General features: G+C 45.7%; 1 protein-coding gene across 6 annotated transcripts in view, besides 1 other annotated feature; it reads left to right on the forward strand.

Annotated features, from left to right (window-relative positions):
* The window catches only part of TMEM132B (transmembrane protein 132B), a 475,992-nt gene that overhangs the window by 117,639 nt on the left and 340,344 nt on the right, over nt 1–18,009 (forward strand). The window lies entirely within an intron of this gene.
* Nucleotides 9,985–10,486: an enhancer, noted in NCBI's record as "H3K4me1 hESC enhancer chr12:125798555-125799056 (GRCh37/hg19 assembly coordinates)". NCBI's record gives its function as "activates a minimal SCP1, AML or CMV promoter by ChIP-STARR-seq in naive H9 embryonic stem cells {active_cell/tissue: H9 hESC(naive)}" and the evidence as "EXISTENCE:reporter gene assay evidence [ECO:0000049][PMID:30033119]".

Raw genomic sequence — 18,009 nt, forward strand, 5'->3', positions numbered from 1 at the left:
AGACAGTGATGGGGGATTGTTTTGGGATAAAACTGTTCCACCTCAAATCAGGCATTAGTTAGATTCTTATAAGGAGCACACAACCTAGATCCCTCGCATGCGCAGTTCACAATAGGGTTTGTGCTCCTATGAGAATCTAATGCCACTGATGATCTGACAGGAGGCGGAGCTCAGGTGGTAACGTGAGCGATGGGGAGCGGCGGTAAACACAGATGAAGCTTCGCTTGCCCACTGGCCGGGCTTTCCTCCTGCTTTGTGGCCAAACAGGTCACGGACTGGTACTGGTCCACAGCCCAGGGTTTGGGGACCCCTGCTTTAATGCACAAAAATTTTATTTTTAAGAAGTCCAATTTATTTATTTTGGTTGCTTTTATTTTTTTGGTTATATTTATGAAATGATTGCAAAATCCATGAAGATTTGTCCTTCATGGATTTTGCAATGACTTCATAAATATAACACCCTTGAAAGATCATGAAGATTTTGCCCTTAGGTTTTCTTCTAGGAATTTATAGTTTTAGCTCTTTTAGTTAAGTCTCTAATACATCTTGAGACAGTTTTGGTGTATGGTATAAGGTATAAAGGTCCAGCTTCATTATTTTGCATGTGGATATCCAGTTTTCCAAACACCAGGAACTAGTGTTTAAAAATTTTCTTCTTTAGCAAGGCATGGTGCTGCTTGCCTGTAGTCCCAACTACTTGGGGGGCTGAGGAGGGAGAATCTCTTGAGGCAGGGAGTTCAAGGCTGTAGTGCACCATGTCTGCGCCTGTGAATAGCCACTGCACTCCAGCCTGGGCAACATAGTGAGACCCCATTTCTAAAAAAAAAAATCTTTTCTTCTTTGCTGCTGCTTCACATTCGTAGTGCAGGTATTGACACATTCTTAGCATAGCACTGGTGAGCTTTTTCCTGAGTGTTGGGAGGTCATTGTTCTCTCTGGTAATCACTATTGGAGCCATCGTCTTGTTGGAAGTAAGACATTTGCTTTGCTGTTTCAGGATATTAGACTTGTTACTTTTTAACTCCCCTGGGGAGGTTGGGCACTCCTTGTCATGGATTGGAGAACTCCCCAGCTACTCTGAATATGTTGGTACACTTCTGAAGCCTTACAAATATCAGTTGCCTTCTTTTCAACCCGTCTCCTACAACTTCTTCAGGAGTGCCATCATGGAGATCAGACGTGGGCGACAGTTTAGATTCAGGGGTTCCCATTCAGCAATAAGAGACCTGTGTGAGTAAATACTGCTGAGACCTTTTAGCTGCAAACCTTGACATACGAGATTCATGCTGGGATTTGCTGTCATGAGGAGGCATCAGCCGGAGCTCGTAACTAAAGTTCTGATGGGAAGTGGGAGTCCAATTTTAATGGCTTATCAGTGTAGTGTGAGATGGCAGCCACATGTCCAAAGCCCAGGGTAGGGGGGGGAAGGCTGTCTGTTAAAAGTTAATGATCTAAGAAGTCCTGGCATAAAGTAAAGCCTTGAGTGAAATTCCATGGCATCGCGGACAGTTAATTCTTTATTAGGTTTTCCTAAGATGGAGATAAAAAGCATTTTATCTTTTCTAAGGTTTGTATTAACATGTCATTGCGTTTTATAGATACATTGGTCTTCGTTTGGCCAATCTGGGACAGGTAATGGAAATACATGCTTTGTGGGATGGCAAAGAAAACCTCCTAACACTTTGCTGTGATTTATTATTGTTTTGTTGGAGATCTCTAAGTTTAAAAGACAAGGAAATCTTGATTTAGGGAAATGAGAGCCAGATGGACTGTTCGTGTTGCTTCCCACCTGGCTGACGTTGAGTTTCCATCTTTCTCTATTGCTGGGTATGTTTAACAACTCTGTACTCCAGTGAAGTTAGAGATCATGCTAGGTTATTTTGTCTGCGAGATCCTTGTAATGAGCTTTTTGGGTAGAGAAGGAGGAAAAGTCAGAAGTTCCAGGCTTCACTAGCTTTGTGCTACAGCTGTTGTCTAAGTGGAGATTCATTTCTTAGAGTCTTGTGCCAGGAATGTTACCGATAGGCCCCAGGGGGCCAGGCAGGTAAGGTGATAAGCTTAGCTGGCCAACTGGAAGCTTTGGTTGGCTGCCTGGTCCAAGGAGGTGGACACTGCCCATCTCCAACCAGGAACTGGAGTCTAAAGTTGGCAGATTGTCTAATTTTCCAACCATGACTGGAAATCTGGACTCTTACGACAAATGTGGGAAATAAATCTAAATTAAAAAATATTATGCAGGCTTAACACAACACACCTGCCGGCCACATTTAGCTCTTGGAGCCTCAGGTTTTAGCAGATGGCAGATGAAGCTTATTCAATCTATCTCCAGCCAGGACTTCTCCCCTGGGCTCCAGACGTCTTTCTCTGACTGTCTACATGACATCTCTACCTGGACGTCTCATTGGTATCTCATACTCACCTGGCCCAAAACCATACTTCCCACCTTTGCCCTGAATCTGTTCCTCCCACAGCCTTCCCTACTGCTGATGGCAATTCCATCCTTCTAGCTTCTCAGGCTAAAAAACCTAGAGCATCCCTGATTCTTCCCCTCTAATTCCTTCCAAGCCTCAGCAAATCTTGTGGCTCTGTCTTCCAAATATATTCAGAAATTAACTCCTTCTCCTTCCCTTCACTGCTCCCAGCCATTATTGTTGCTTGCCTGGACCATTGCAGTGGCCTCCTCCTTTGTCCCTTCTCAATCCTTTCTTCCCACAACAACCAAAGCAGCTTTGCTGCATGTCAATTGCACCATGTTCTTCCTCTGCTCAAAATGCCCCAGTGATGTCCATCTCATTCCAAGTAAAAGCCAGTGTCCTTCAAGTTGATCAGAATGCTCTAAATAATTGGTCATTCCCATTACCTCTATGACTTCCTGTCTGTTTACTTGCTCCAGTCTGGCCACACTGGCCTCCTGCTAGCCTTGGAAACACCCTGGGCATGCTCCTGCCACAGGGACTTTGCACCTATTTCCTCTTCTTGGGACCTCCTCCTTTCCCTTTCTGTGCTCCTACCTCTTTAGACCTTTATGATGGTGGCCCTTGGCCTGAGGAGGTTCTTGGCTTCCTACTTAACACTGCAACCACTTGGAGTCCACTCCAGTGTTGCTTATCCTTCTTCATTTTTCTCCATGTCATTTGCAGCTGTCTAGAATCCTATGCATGTTATTATTTATTTCATTGGTGGTCTTTCTTTTTCCCACTAAACCCATCAGCTCCACAAGACCAGGGATTCTGTCCGGCACATAGAGAGGGCTCATTTTTGAATAAGTGAATGAATGGTGTAGACACTCAGGAAGGTTTCGTGCAGTATCATGACAAACCCATGGATTTAAATACGACTAATGTGTTTCAGTCTGTATGGTTGTGATTCTTTTTGATTTAAGTGATTTTCTTAACCTCTCTGTACTTTGGGATCCTTCCTGTAAAATAGGAATAATAATAGCACTCAACCTCTTAGGACCGTTGTTGGATTGAATGAATGAATGAATGCATGGAAAGCACTTAGAACAGTGCAAATCAGAAAAGCGAGATAGGGTGTGCTATTATTATTATTACTGTTTATCTGTGTGAAAATGAAAACATTACAAATAGGGCTAAAGTCTGTTGTGATCAGCATCCCAAGCCCCACGTCTCTCTCTACTTTCTCTCCAGAGGTAACCACAGTTATTACACCTTTATTTTCTTTATTTCAGATCATGTCTATGTGTATACTTGTAATATAAGTATATATACTTATATTGCAAGTATATATACTTATAATACAAGTATATTACAAGTATATATACTTATAATACTTATAAGTATATATACTTATATTAATATATACTTATATATTTATATATACTTATATTACTTATATACTTATATTACTAAATATATATATTAAGTATATATACTTATATTACTTAATATATACTTATATTACAAGTATATATATATTAAGTAATATAAGTATATTAAGTAATATAAATATATATAAGTAATATAAGTATATATAAGTAATACAAGTATATATACTTGTAATATATGTATATATGTATAATACAAGTATATTATAAGTATATATACTTACAATACAAGTATATTACAAGTATATATATACACATAAGTATATACATATACTATATATAGTATAAGTATATATATAGTTATATATATGTGTATACATATATATTCACCTGTAGAAAAATACAGTATTTTAAAAAAGATATACTTTACATAATATTTTTGCAACTTGCCTATTTTCCCTCAACAATGCATCCTGAAGATGGTTTCACACCACTTCATAGATGTCATCCACTCTGTTCTTTGCTGCTGCTGTATATTGTTCTGGAATATGGAACTGCTCTGGACACCTTAGCTATTCCCCACTTGTGGACATCTAAGCTGTCTCCAAGTGTCTTCCATTATGAGCAATGCTTGGCTAATATCCTGTTATCTGACTGAGTGCTTAGCCTTTCTCCAGGGTGAATATTAAGACATGAGATTGCTGGGCTCAAGGGGTTATGCATTTGCCATTTTAATAAATTATTGCACATTGTGCTTTAAAATGTGGTTGCCAATTACAATTCTACTAGCAGGATGTGAAAAACCTTTCTTTTTTTTTAATTGTAATTTTTATTTTGAGGAATAAAAAAAGTGAAAAGTACAAAGAGTAACATAACAAATATCAGTGTATTCCACACCTAGAAATGTCAGCTGTTCACATTTTGTCACTTTTGCAGCAGGTCTTTTATTATTTTGTAAAAAAAAGGACCCAAACATTACAGAAAACATTGAAGTTCTCTTTTGCACCATCCTCAATTCCATCCCCTCTCCCAGAGGCAAATATGATCATGAATTTAATGTTTTTATATTTTTCCTTATATATGGAACCATGAACAATATATTATTCTTGTGCATTTAATTTTTCATTTAAATGTTATATTGATATAGTATTCTGCAACTTGCTTTTTTTCAGCCAACAATATATTCTGTAGACCTAACCATGTTAGCACATTTACACTTACCTCAATCTTTTTACCTGCTGTGTAATATTCCATCATGTCATGATTTATTTAGCTCTTCTCCACCTGATGGGCTTGTAAACTGATTCTAGTTCTCTGCTATTATGACTAATCCTAAACTGAACATTGTGGTCAGGAGACATTCAGATTCTTTGTTATATATTTTAATAATGCTTCAATTTTATATGCTATTTGGAATAAGATGCTCTTTATCTTTTCATAGACTCAGAAGCAGCCTTGAAAAGAAAAATATCACTTTATCTGCCTTCCTCTACCTGCCAGATGTTTGTTCTTTTAGGGGTAGTAAGATTAGATCTTTGCAGCTTGCTTTTATTAGTTTGGTTATTGTGGTTACTACTAGTACACATCAGGTGAAAACATTCATTCCCACACTTTAGAATCTTAATTATTTGGTTCTTTTTGTATCTGATGTTCTCATTCATTTGACCGATATTTTCTGAGCACCTACTATGTGCCAGGCTCTGTCCTAGGCAGGGAAAACTCAGATGTGGTGTTTGTCCTCTTGGAATTTCCATTCTCGGGGGAAATGGACAATACAACAGGCAAAAATCAGCACTTCTGCTTCCCCTCCAGGTTCATCACTGAAGAGCTAACGGAGATGTGCTTCCTTGGCAAAGTCTGTCCTCTGGCTGAGCCCTCAAGGAATTTTATAGTGAGCTGTTAGAGTGAGGCTCAAAATTAAAATTTCTAGGAGTTGTGTTCTTATGATCAATTGCTGCATAACAAACTACCCCAAGACCTGGTGACTTAAAAGAACAATGGCATTTATTTTGCTCACTAGTTTAGAATTGGGACAGGGTGTGGCAGGAACAGCTGTCTTTGGTCCACTTGTTGTCATCATCCTAGGCAGCTCAAAGGAGTCATCTCAGGGCTCACTCGAATGTCTGGGGGTTGATGCTGCTGTCTGCTGGGATCACAGCTTGGCTGTGGCTGGAACACCTCCATGAGCCCCTTCCTGTGGCTGCCTGGCTTCCTTGCAATATGGCAGCTGGTTGCAAGGGTGAGCGTCCCAAGAGGACCAGGCAGGAGCTGCATTTCCTTTTATGACTGCCTCACAAGGCCCATGGAGTCCCTTTCACTGTAGTCCCAGGCCCACCCAGACTCAAAGGGAAGGGACATTGGCCCATCCCTGTAGGAAGGAATGTCATGTGAGATGGATCTACTGGTGTGACCCTCTGGAAGACACCATCCACCACAAGCTGTGCAAAGCAGCTCTTCCTGCACACGTGTCCAGCCAGATCTCCTGGTGGGCAGTGGCATGGCTTGTGGGAGACCCGGACAGAGGTGGTGGTGTGGATGGTGGCTGGGAATTATAGCAGGATTGTTGAGGGCTCCTGTTTGCTAGGCACACTGCCTGTCTCCTTAGATCCCCACTACACCCATGGTCCCTCCCATTTTACAGTTGAGGAAGCTGAGGTGCAGAGCTCTTGAGTAAGCTCCAGGGTTCACACAGTTAATCAGCAGGGAAACTTGGGCTTGAACCCAGGCCTATAAGTTAGACTGCCCTCTTCAAGTCTACCTAACCACTCCCTACCCCAGGGAGGTAAGACTTCTCTACTCGGAAAGCTCCCAGCCACGGGTCCCCCGTGGGGCTGTCTCTCAGTGGCTGCTTCCTCTGGTAGGCCTCTGGTTACCATGGCAACCGTAGCCAGCCACGCAGAGAAACACTTTGACCTCCCCCCCAACAACACCCCCACGGTAGTTCTGGGTCTTACTGAACAATGAGAGGCACAGTACATTTAGAGGCTTTGGGAGGGCACCTCCCTTTCATCTGCTAACGGGTGTGTCGATGTGAGAAACAGTTTTAGGATGTCTCCTTGACTCAAGGCACAGGCTGAGCAATTATAGAAATCAAATACGATGTCACATCAAGTGGCCCATCACTGAGTACTGGTGTCCGAGGCTGTTCAATTATATGCACCTGTTCCCGGAGCTTCCCAACTCTTCAGTGAAAGACCTTTTGGGGTGGAATATTTCCTGCTTGCTCTTCTGGGCTATTTTAGGAAGATGGGCTGATACACTGTTCACATCTTCTTAGACATAATTGAGCATGACAAAAGGTGGGTGTGTACTGGGGTTTGCAGAAGAATCCTGCAGCAGTGGCCCTTTAAAGGGAGATTCTTTCTTACGGATGCTCCTGGCTCACTGGCACTCAACCCGTTTGGCATCCCTGTTTGTTAGTCATAGAGAAACCGGGTCACCGTTACAAGAGCGGTGCCATTTTGATTCTGGGTTATGAGGGGAGGCAGGCAACTGCTGCTTGGGAATGGTGATTTTAAATCAAAGTTAATTGGGATTTCAATTAATTTAAACAGACATGAAAGTCATACTTTCCCAGAACACACGTGGCAGCTGACGGCAATTCCATCCTTCCAGTTTGCTCAGGTTGAAAACTCTGGCGTCATCCCAGCTTCTCTCTTCCTTTTACATCCCACATCCTATCAATCAGTGAGTCGCCACCTCTAGCTTTGAACTCCCAGGGTTCTGGCCCATCTTCTCTCTTCCACCCTGATCCAAGCCCCATGATCTCATTCCTGGAATCTGCGGAAGCTGCTTCTAGCATCTTGCTTCTCTCATGCTTATCTCTTTCCAGTCTATTCTCATCGAGGAGCCAGAATGAGCCTTTGAAAATGCAAATCATAGCCCACTATGCCTCTGCACAGAACCCCAACCAAACAGGGCAGACAGCGGGCAGGCCAGAGGATGTGTGGCAGGGGCAGGGAGGTTGGGTGGGGAATGTGGTCCATCTTTTTTCAGTAGCATGATATTTCCTTCTGATCATGGGCCTTTTGGAAGCAGCCTAGAGAAGCTAGGCCAGATCTGACCTCCAGGAACTGCTAGATGAGAGATGTTCCAGATCAGAAGGATATTTGAGACTGAAGTAGGAAGTACATGGCATAAAGGAGTGAAGCAGGTGCTCATATACAAACAATGAGCACGCTCTCTCCAGTGCAGTAATAGGGAGTGGTGGGGACTGTGGCAAAGTGGAAAGCCTGTGCTCTGCCTACAAGGGACAGCTGCTCCCAGCTCCAGCCAACTGTCATCATATGAGAGTATAGGTCTAATGCTGTCAGATCTTCCAGTTTTTCAAGAGAAGCTGGAAATTCAGCCCGATAGACTCTCCATATGCTCCATTGTTAGTATCACTGTGAGCCCATGAATTTTAGTATATTTGATGGGTTTCAACCCATTGAGTCATTAGTTGTTTGGATGCTCTAAATCATCCCATCGTTGCCCAGCAGGCGCTCCTTCCAGCTGCCTCGCATGTCCTTTTGATGCATCCCCATCAGTAAAAGCATTTTCCTACTTCTTGGCACAAGATCCTCCAGATTCATCTGGTACATGTCTTGCTCTGGACATGGGCTCAGCCGTTTCTTCAAGATGCCTGGGCTTGAACTCCCCATTTTTAAAGGTTAGCAAGAAATTCACATTAAGAATGAAAAGATCTGTTGCTGGGGTGGCCCTCTGAGGACCCTTGGGTAGATGTCCCAGCGTCCTCTGGAGAGACCCAGGCTGAGCGCCACCATCTCTGAGGAAGTTGGCCTCTGCTTCTGGAGCCTGCTGGGCTGATGGATGGCACAGCTAATGTATCTGGATGGTTGCATTCCACTCAGGGACAGTCACTGAGAAATGTCTAAAATGTACTCACCGTGAGAGCTGTTCCTACAGGTTTCACCTTGCAGAAATCTGTCAGGATTCAGGTGTGAATTCAGAGTTGGCACAGTGGGCTCTGTATACTGTGGCCATTTCCCCATCCTGCTGTCTTCTGTGCTATTGAGGAGTTATGAAAGGACACAGGATGGGGATGAGGGTGTCTAGAATGGGCCATCCCTAATGAATATACCCTAAACCAATGGAGAGCTCTTCCTTTAACCCTTCTGCCTCCACAGACAACTGGTGCTGGATGTGTCTACCAAAGCACCTGCTTTCCTGGAAGCCTGCACATGCTCAGGATGTGGACCGTGTGCATAATTTTTATTGGACACCCCTCGTGTGAGCTGGGAGTGCGAGTGCCTGGGTTTGAATCCTGGCTTGGCTGCGTACTGAATCTGGAATCTTGGGGCAAGCTGCCTAACCTTTCTGTGCCTCAGTTTCCTCATCTTAAAAATGGGGACATAGAAATACCTAGGTCAGGGGCTCGTGATGATGAGTAAGTGAGTCAATACATGTAAATCCCTTAGAACAGTGGCTGACACCTAGCAAGGGTCAGTAAACCTTGGTTTTGAGAATGATTTGAATCTGTGTCCAGTCAGATAGACGCAATTCCTAGATGGTTAGTTATATGATGCACATATTTCTCTTTTCCTTTTCCTTTCCTTTCTTTCTTGATGCCTCCTTGCTCTTTAACTCTTTTATTCCTTCTTTCCATCCTCTCTCCTCTCCTCTTCTTCCCTTCCTTCCTCCCTTCTTTCTCTCTTCCTTTTTTCCCTTCCTCCCTTCCTCCTTCCCTTTCTCTCTCCCTTCCTTCATTTCCCACCCCCTCCCATTTCCCCCTCCCCTCCCGTTTCCCCCTCCCCTCTCCTTTCCCCTCCCCTCCCCTTTTGCCCTCCCCTCCCCTTTCCCTCTCCCCTCTCCTTTCCCCTCCCCTCTCCTCCCCCACCTTTCCTTTCACCCCTTACCCCTCTCCCCTCCCCTTCCCTCCCCTCCCCCCCTCCCTCCATTGGTTTGGGTTAATTTTCTGCCACATGCAACCCAGGCTGGCTTCACGGACATGGGACTGGAGCAGTTGCAGGGGATGCTATGCTCAGAAGGACCCCAAACTTTGTGTCATGCTCTTGAAATTCTTAATACTTTTTGACCAAAGGCTCCCTGCCTTTTCATTTTGCACCGGGCCCCGCATATGACCTAGCCGGTCCTGTGTGTCGCCAAAGTGTCTGGCCAGCCGTCCTCTCTGTCAGGACATCTCTTTGTGTCTCTGTCTTCTGGCACATGATGGGCTTTCAGCAAATACAGATTGAACTCAAATCATCATCCCCAGGATCAGTGCATCTTTTTTGGTCTCTGTTCTTGTCATCCAGCACCTGCCTGGGCGGCGTGCGAACTCATGTATACCTGTGTGCAGAGAGCTTAGCTGAGTGTGTGCAGGGGACTTGATTACGTTTTGTTTCTGTGAAAGTCTTGCTCCAATTCGAGGTGCAGGCTGCCACGTCCCAGCCTCCAGTCCTATGCAAACCGGCCTTGACTTCTGTGTGGGCGTCTGGAAACAGTAACGAGGGCTCACCTTCTTGGAATGTGGAGATTTTGACAAAGATCAGCAGCGATGGCTCCTCCAGAGTAATTGGAGGTTTTGCCGAGATTCGGTACCAACTCTAGGCAGCAGATGGGAGGCTCTTTCTTTCCTTCTTGCTCAGAAGCCTGGTTTGCAAGGTAACGCTGCCTTCTGCCTTGAAGGCGAGGAACAGGGGAAAAGTGTTCCTGTGGGCCCCAGAGGTGGTGCTGGGCTTCCTGGGTTTCTTGTGCTGCATTGAGGAGGCGCTTCCTGCACCCGGGCTCAGAGGGGCTCAGCTACTACTTCCTGGAAGAGACTGAGCCAGCAAGGCTTCAACGGGGCAAATTCTCTAAACTGGGAACCGCACAAGAGGTCGCGAACCCTCGCGAGGGAGGCACAAAGATCTTTTCTTCCAGCTCAAATGAGTGAAGTTGCCAGAGGCTGCTGTCATTTTTCAGCTAAGTCTGAGGGGTTAGGAGCTGGGATGAGATGTTTCTTTCTTCAGTGCTAATGACTATCTAGGTTGCCTGGCCTGTTCTTTCAGAAATTAGAATAAAGATTAGCTGAGAAATGTCTTCTTTGTGCAAAGTGCCTCTGGTGGGCACTGGCTGCCATGTGGGAGGTCTGCAGATGCCGCTAGAAATGGGAGACTTGGAGCTGGAGAGGGGAGTCTGGGGGCACTGTCCTGTCTACACTTGCAGGCAGAGTTGGGGCTGGTTAACTGTCCAGGTTTATTTAGTGCTCTGCTCTGGGTTTTTCTTTCCTATGTGATCTAGACAGACTCAAGAAGGCACCCTCCTGGGCTTGCAAACTCAACCAATGCCAGGAACCAGGCAGCTTATGCACAGAAGGAAGTAGGTTAGGGGTTAGGGAGTCAGCACAGCAGCAAATCCAGCTGATGATGCTGTGCCTACGCGAAGGCGCATAACAGTAGAAATTGTTTCTTTGTTTTGTTTTGAGACAGGGTCTCGCTCTGTCACTCAGGCTGGAGTGCAGTGGTGCAATCTCAGCTCACGGCAACCTCCGTCTCCCAGGCTCAAGTGATTCTCCTGCCTCAGCCTCCCAAGTAGCTGGGATTACAGGCGCCCACCACCACGTCTGGCTGATTTTTGTATTTTTAGTAGAGACGGGGTTTCACCATGTTGGCCAAGCTGGTCTCGAACTCCTGACCTCAAGTGATCCGCCTGCCTCGGCCTCCCAAAGTGCTGAGATTAAAGGCGTGAACCACCACGCCTGGTCAATAATAGGAATTGTTAACACTATTATTATTTTCCAGCCACTGCTCTGAATGCTTGTATGTATCTTAACTCAAGCAATCCTCATGATAGCCCCGATGCCGTGGGTACCATGATCCTTGTTTTACAGATGAGGAAACTGAGGCACAGAACAATGGAGTCACTTGGCCAAGGTAACACAACTAGAAGGCAGTAGAGCTGGGGTTGGAGCCTCAGATTCTGTGTCACTTGCCTGTTGGTGGTTAAGGGGTGATGGGACTTGGAGTGAACAGGAGACCCCATTCCCCATCTAAAGATAGCAGTTGCTACTTGGCCAATTGTTGTAATGCACACCAGCAGTTTGCAGCCCTTGACGTCTGCCCAGCAGTGGCTCCAGAGACTGAGGATGCTCTGGAGGTGGTTGTAATGGAGGTACTTAGGACAACAAGCAGGGGACCCTGGGTCACCACCCCCTGGATGTTGCAGAAATGGAAGATCAGCATCCCCCCCTCACCTGGCTGGCTTTTCTGGGGACACAGGTGGTCTTAGAGTAGCAGAGTTTGTCCTGGATACTGAGTTCCCTGAATGTTCTCTCCAACAAGCACTCCCTTAGCTTCAAGTTGCCCAGCTCAAAGGAAGAGGGCTCATTACCTCCTCTTCTGTCTTTAGGTGTTGGAACATTCTTTCTACACAGATCCATATCTGCCTCCCCATCAAGTCCATCCTGGATTCCAGGGATTACACAGGATAAATCTAATTCCTCCTCTACAGGACAGTCCTATGGGCAATTGCTGATGTGCTTCAGAGCTGCCTGGCTTGAGACCCCTTTGAGAATAAAATCCAAGCTCCTGGTGGGGGGCGGGAGCAGTGGCTGCATGGCCTGCCCCTGCCCTGATTCTAAGCAGCATCTCTTCGCACTCTTTCTCTTTCTCTATGTCAGGCATTCTAACCTTGCTTTTCCTCAATACATCAAGCTAAAGGGTTCTTTTCTTTCCTTTTTAAAATGTTTTATTTTGAACCAATTTTAAATGTAGAGAAAAGCTGCAGAAAGAGTACAGAGAGGTCCTATGTACCTTTAACCTGGCTTCCATGAAGCTATTTTCTAGAAGGTGGTCAAAGAAGGCAGCACTGAGTAGATGATTTTCAGCTGAGGTCTGAGTAGTGGGAAGGGACTGACTATATAAAGACCTGGGGCAGCTCATTCCGGAAGAGGGGGCAGGAAGTGCAAATGTCCTGTGGCAGAACGGTGCCAGATGTCCACTAGACACAAAGTGGGGGGCTGCAGTGACGTAAGCGAGGGGGACAGAGCAGTGAGAAGGACCATCCCACAAACTGTACTACAGGCCACCATGAGAACTTGGACTTTTACTCTGAGTCAAATGGGAGCCATGGGAGGTTTGGGAGCAGGGCAGGAGGCCTGATGTGACTCGCCTAAGGTCCCCGATAAATAAGTACATCTCTTTCTCAGCCACAGCCTTTGGCCAAGCCTCCTCTCCTTGCCTGCCCACCACAACCCACCTACCTCTTGTTCCTGGCAGGGTGGTGAGAGGGCTGGAAGCAGAATGGGGGGCTCCCGATCAAAGGATAGTGCCGCCTTCCCAACTTGGGGACAGAACCCCTTGTTATCCCGATCCTTCTCCATCATCAGCCTGGCAGAGACTCCCGCCTGTTGACCTTGGGCAAGTGACTTCCCCTCTCTGTGCCTCAGTTTCCTCCTCAGATGGAGCTGATTGTAGTACCTGGGTTGTTGAGAGGATTAGCATGGGTTGGTATACTCAAAGCGATTGGAAGCACCTGGCCTGGAGTGCGCACCGTGTGACTATTAGGCACGATTGTTTAAATTCACCTGCAGCTTCACATTGCTGCAGGTGCATCTGTGTAAAAGGCTGAGTCTCCCCTGCCCATCAGTCTCTGTTGTTAAAGATCACCATGCATCCGGAGCATGGATCCACTGCTCTCACCCGACGGGCAGAACTGGGAAGTGGGGGTGCTCCCCTTCAGTCTTTTGTCCTTGCCTTTTCCTGGGCTGGGGGCAGGACTTTGGGCTTTGGTTTTGGCGAGGGGTCCTGGCTTGAGTGAAGGGGACATCATCAAAGGATAGTGCTGCCTTCCCACCATGGGGTCATATCCCCTCATCATCTCTATCCTCCTCCGTCATCAGCTTAGTGGAGTCTCCCGCCTGTTGACCTTGGGCAGGTGACCTCCAGGGCTGGGCTTTCACCTGGAGCCTTCACATTCTGGGGCTGCCAGAAGGGGTGGCCAGTGTGACTTTGAGGGGCCCCAGACCTGCCCTCCTTGCTTCATCTGGGGAGCTCTCAGTGGTTCTCTTCATCATCTTTCTCTGTAAGGGTGTTTTTTCCCCTTAAACAACTCAGAAACTCCACTCCTAGGTAAGTGGAAATGCAAATATAAACACGAAGACGTGTGTGAGAATTGTTTCTTAAAACATTGTATGTAATCACAGAAGCTTGGAACCAACCTAAACTTCCAGCAGGAGAATGGATCCATATGGTATTTCCATACAATGGGATACCAAATAGTAGCAAAGTGAGTGGGTTACGGCGATGTATGTCAATAAATGTAATTTTCGTAGACATAATGTTGGGTGGAAAATGCAAGTTGTAGAATCATAGAGTACAATGCTATTTATATAAAATCTAGAAATGATACAACATATCTTACCATATGTAGGCACTATATACTACAATAAAAGTAAAAAAAACTCACAACATGGTGAACCCCAAGTTGAGGAAAGGGGTTACCTCTGGGGTCAGGAGGGAACTGTGGTTGGGGAGGGACCACGGAGGACTTCACCTGTGTTTGCAGTGACCTGTTTCTTTCTTTCTTTTTTTTTTTTCAAACAGAGCTTTTAATGAATTTATTTTTCTTCAACTTTTATTTTTAGTTCTGGGGTACATGTGCAGGGTGTGCAGATTTGTTACGTAGGTAAATGTGTGCGATGGTGGTTTGCTGCATCTGTCAGCCCATCACCTAGGTATTAAGCCCAGAATGCATTAGCTATTTTTCCCGATGCTCTCCCTTCCCACCCCCACCCTGACAGGCCCCAGTGTGTGTTGTCCCTGACCCACCATGTCCATGTGTTCTCACCATTCAGCTCCCACTTATAAGTGAGAACATGAAGTGTTTGGTTTTCTGTTCCTGTGTTAGTTTGCTGAGGACAATGGCTTCCAGCTCCATCCATATCCCTGCAAAGGACATTTCATTCCTTTTAATGGCTGCATAATATTCCATGGTGTGTATGTACCACATTTTCTTTATCCAGTCTACCATTGATGGGCATTTGGGTTGATTCCATGTGCAGTGACCTGTTTCTTAACTTGGATGGTTGGTCCAGGTATGTTCACTGTATTATAAAAATCCTCTTGTAAAAATATTACATAATCAATTAAAAATATGTTGTTTGAATAACAGTTTGTATAGCTAAGGAAAAAATTAGTCTGGAAGTTGCTGGACTGGATGTCCTTGGCCTCTCTTGCTGGTATTGACCCACTGGGGTCCCCCGGTTGTCCCCAGAGGCCATGATATAATCCTGGGTTTCAGGGCAGGTGGCCCAGTGGTAAGAGCATCAGGTAGAGGTGGCTCAGGTCCTGGTTTTGTCCTGGTGAACCTTGGATAAGAGTTGTGTCCTCTCTGAATGTCAGTTTCCTCAATTGTAAAATGGGAAGAATTTAGTCCCCATGACTACAGCTCCCGGGGCTGGTGGGAGGATTTGCAGAGATGGTGGCACGTGTAGCGTGTTTAGCTCAGAGCCGGTGGCAGTGTACTATGCACAACACACAGTAGATGCTGTTGATGATGATAGTGAACAGTCATTCCATCCACACAGTGAGAGGGACAGGCAGAGGAAGAGGGGAGAAGTAACGAGAACTTGGCTTTCCAGTATGGGTCCCAACGCCTCCACATTAACGAGGCTGCCGCCTTGTGTTCAAGCCCCAGGAGGACTGGTTGGTTTTGAGCCACACTGACTGGAAGCCTCTCTTCTGCTGTGGCCACACACCCTGCTGCCCTTCATGTGGCTGCAGACTAACTCTGATCCATCACACATCCACAGCTGATGGTGACCTCAGACTACCCTCCCTATCCTGCTGAGATGGGCACTGACTCTCTGGTTCCCCTCAGGGCTGCGCTGGGCTTCCTTCCTTCTTGTTGACTCAAAACTGGGGTGCAGTTACCAGGAGGGGGATGGATACTGAAGGGTTCAATTATCACATAGGTCCAGTGATCAGAAGGGAGCCACTGGCCAGGTGTAGTGGCTCACACCTGTAATCCCAGCCCTGTGGGAGGCTGAGGTGGGAGGATCAGTTGAGCCCAGGAGTTCAAGATCAGCCTGGGCAATATAGTGAGACCCTGTCTCTATAAAAAGTAAACAAAATTAGCCAGGTGTGATGGTTTGTGCCCATAGTTCCAGCCACTTGGGAGGCTGAGGTGGGAGGATTGCTTGCACCTGGGAGGTTGAGGGCTGCAGTGAGCCCTGATTGTGCCATTGCACGCCGGCCTGGGCAATAGAGCAAGACCCTGCCTAAAAAAAAAAAAGGGAGCCACCGGTCTAGGGCAGCACAATTCACCTTTTCTACAAGGACTGGCCTCCCTTGCCTGGACTCTCCTGTGATGTCTCTGGGTCCTGCACTGAGCTTTGGCCTTTTGGGGGCTGGCTTGGAGCCTCACCGTCCTGCTGGAGCCCCTCATGTAACTGTATCAACAATGGCCCAGCTGGGGAGGAGGTCTGATCCAGCAGCCTCATTCATGCAGGCACCAGAGAGAAAATAGGAGCAAATAAATTGCTGGCCTACGTTAAATTTAGTCTTATTCTGTTGGAGCTAATTGTAATCTTTATTTGGTCCCAAGTGATTCATTCTTATCGCTCTTATTATAGCTGAGAAAATTAATTTTTATTCTACCATAACGGTGGCTGTAATAATCTGGGTTCAGGGAGGGGGATTACTTTAATAAGATTTGCCAACAGGCTTTGAAACAGTCAGCTTTTATTAGCGTGTGGAACCGGCCTGTTGCGCTGGAGAGGACATTAGGGGTTCCTGGTGGCATTGCTGGGGTGAGCTTGGCTAGGAGAAGGGACAGGTTTGTTTGCTCTATGAAGAACTCAGGCCTGTTTCCATTCCTGTGTTTAAGTACAGGAACGGCTCCACAAGGGGGAAGCTGAGTCGACCTCAGTCTTTGGCCGACTTAAATGGAAACAAATGCATTTAAATGAATCATGAGTCTGCTCCTGAAACACCACGCACCATAGGGACAAGGGAAAATGCACTGGGGTCAGGCTGGTCTTAGACATTGGGACTGTGGGGAATATGGAAAGCAACACATCTTCCAGAAGGAGCAGATGTTATGCACCCATTATCTCTCTATTTGCAATTCCAGATTCCCAAACCTCTGAGAACCACAATGTTTTTGGTAAATTTTCAGCAGACTCATTGGGTGGTAGAACCTCACCTGAGCTCATTTATAACTTTATTTGTTCCACTTAAGAGGAAGGCTCTTGTCTTTGACTTGGAACCACTGGTGTGTGGATTCAAAGATCCTGCCCCAGGCTCCGCTGAAGGTGCTACTGAGATTCAGCGTATGCATTGGTCTTGCCTGTCTAAATCAGAGAAATTAGGAACTGAGAGTTCTGGAAAAGAGGTGCTGGATCTGGATACATGCAATGTAGACCAAAGAAGTGGTAGATTTTTCTGACTTTGGGGGAGAGAAACCGGAGGTCCTAACTGTTATGTGACATCTCTCAATTTCGATTTGTTTACTGAGTCAAACTTTTACATTTTGTGTTTTGAAGACAGAAAATATCCCCAACATTGTTAGTCATTAGGAAAAGTCAAATTAATACCATAATGAGATACCACTGCACAACCAATGGAATGACTAAAATAAAAAACCTGGCGATATCAAGTTTTTGCAAGGATGTGGAGAAACTGTAATCCTCTATGTGCTGATGGGAATGTAAAATGGTGTAGTCACTTTTGAAAATGATTCTTTTTTTTTTTTTTTTTCTTTACGGAGTTTTGTTCCTGTTGCTCAGGCTGGAGTTCAGTGGAGCAATCTCGGCTCACTGCAACTTCCACCTCCCAGGTTCAAGCGATTCCTCTGCCTCAGCCTCCCAAGTAGCTGGGATTCCAGTGTGCACCACCATGCCCGGCTAATTTTTTGTGTTTTTAGTAGAGCCAGTGTTTCACTATGCTGGTCAGGCTAGTCTGAAACTCCTGACCTCAGGTGATCCACCCACCTTGGCCTCTCAAAGTGTTGGGATTACAGGTGTGAGCCACCAAGCTCACCTGGTTCATCAGTTTGCTTAAAAGTTAAGATACACCACCATATGACCCAGCAATTCCACTGCTAGATATCTACTTTAAAAAAAAAAAGACCTGTTTATAAATGTTTATTCGTCATTGCCCCAAACTGGAAACAACCTAAATGTCCATCAACTAGTGAATGCATGAACACCCTTTAGGACACCCATACAATGGAATAAAAAGGCACAACCTACTGATAAATATAATAACATGGGTGACTTAATTATTATGCGAAATAAA

This window comes from Homo sapiens, chromosome 12 (genome assembly GCF_000001405.40).
Source record: "Homo sapiens chromosome 12, GRCh38.p14 Primary Assembly".
Classification (NCBI taxonomy): Eukaryota; Metazoa; Chordata; class Mammalia; order Primates; family Hominidae; genus Homo; species Homo sapiens.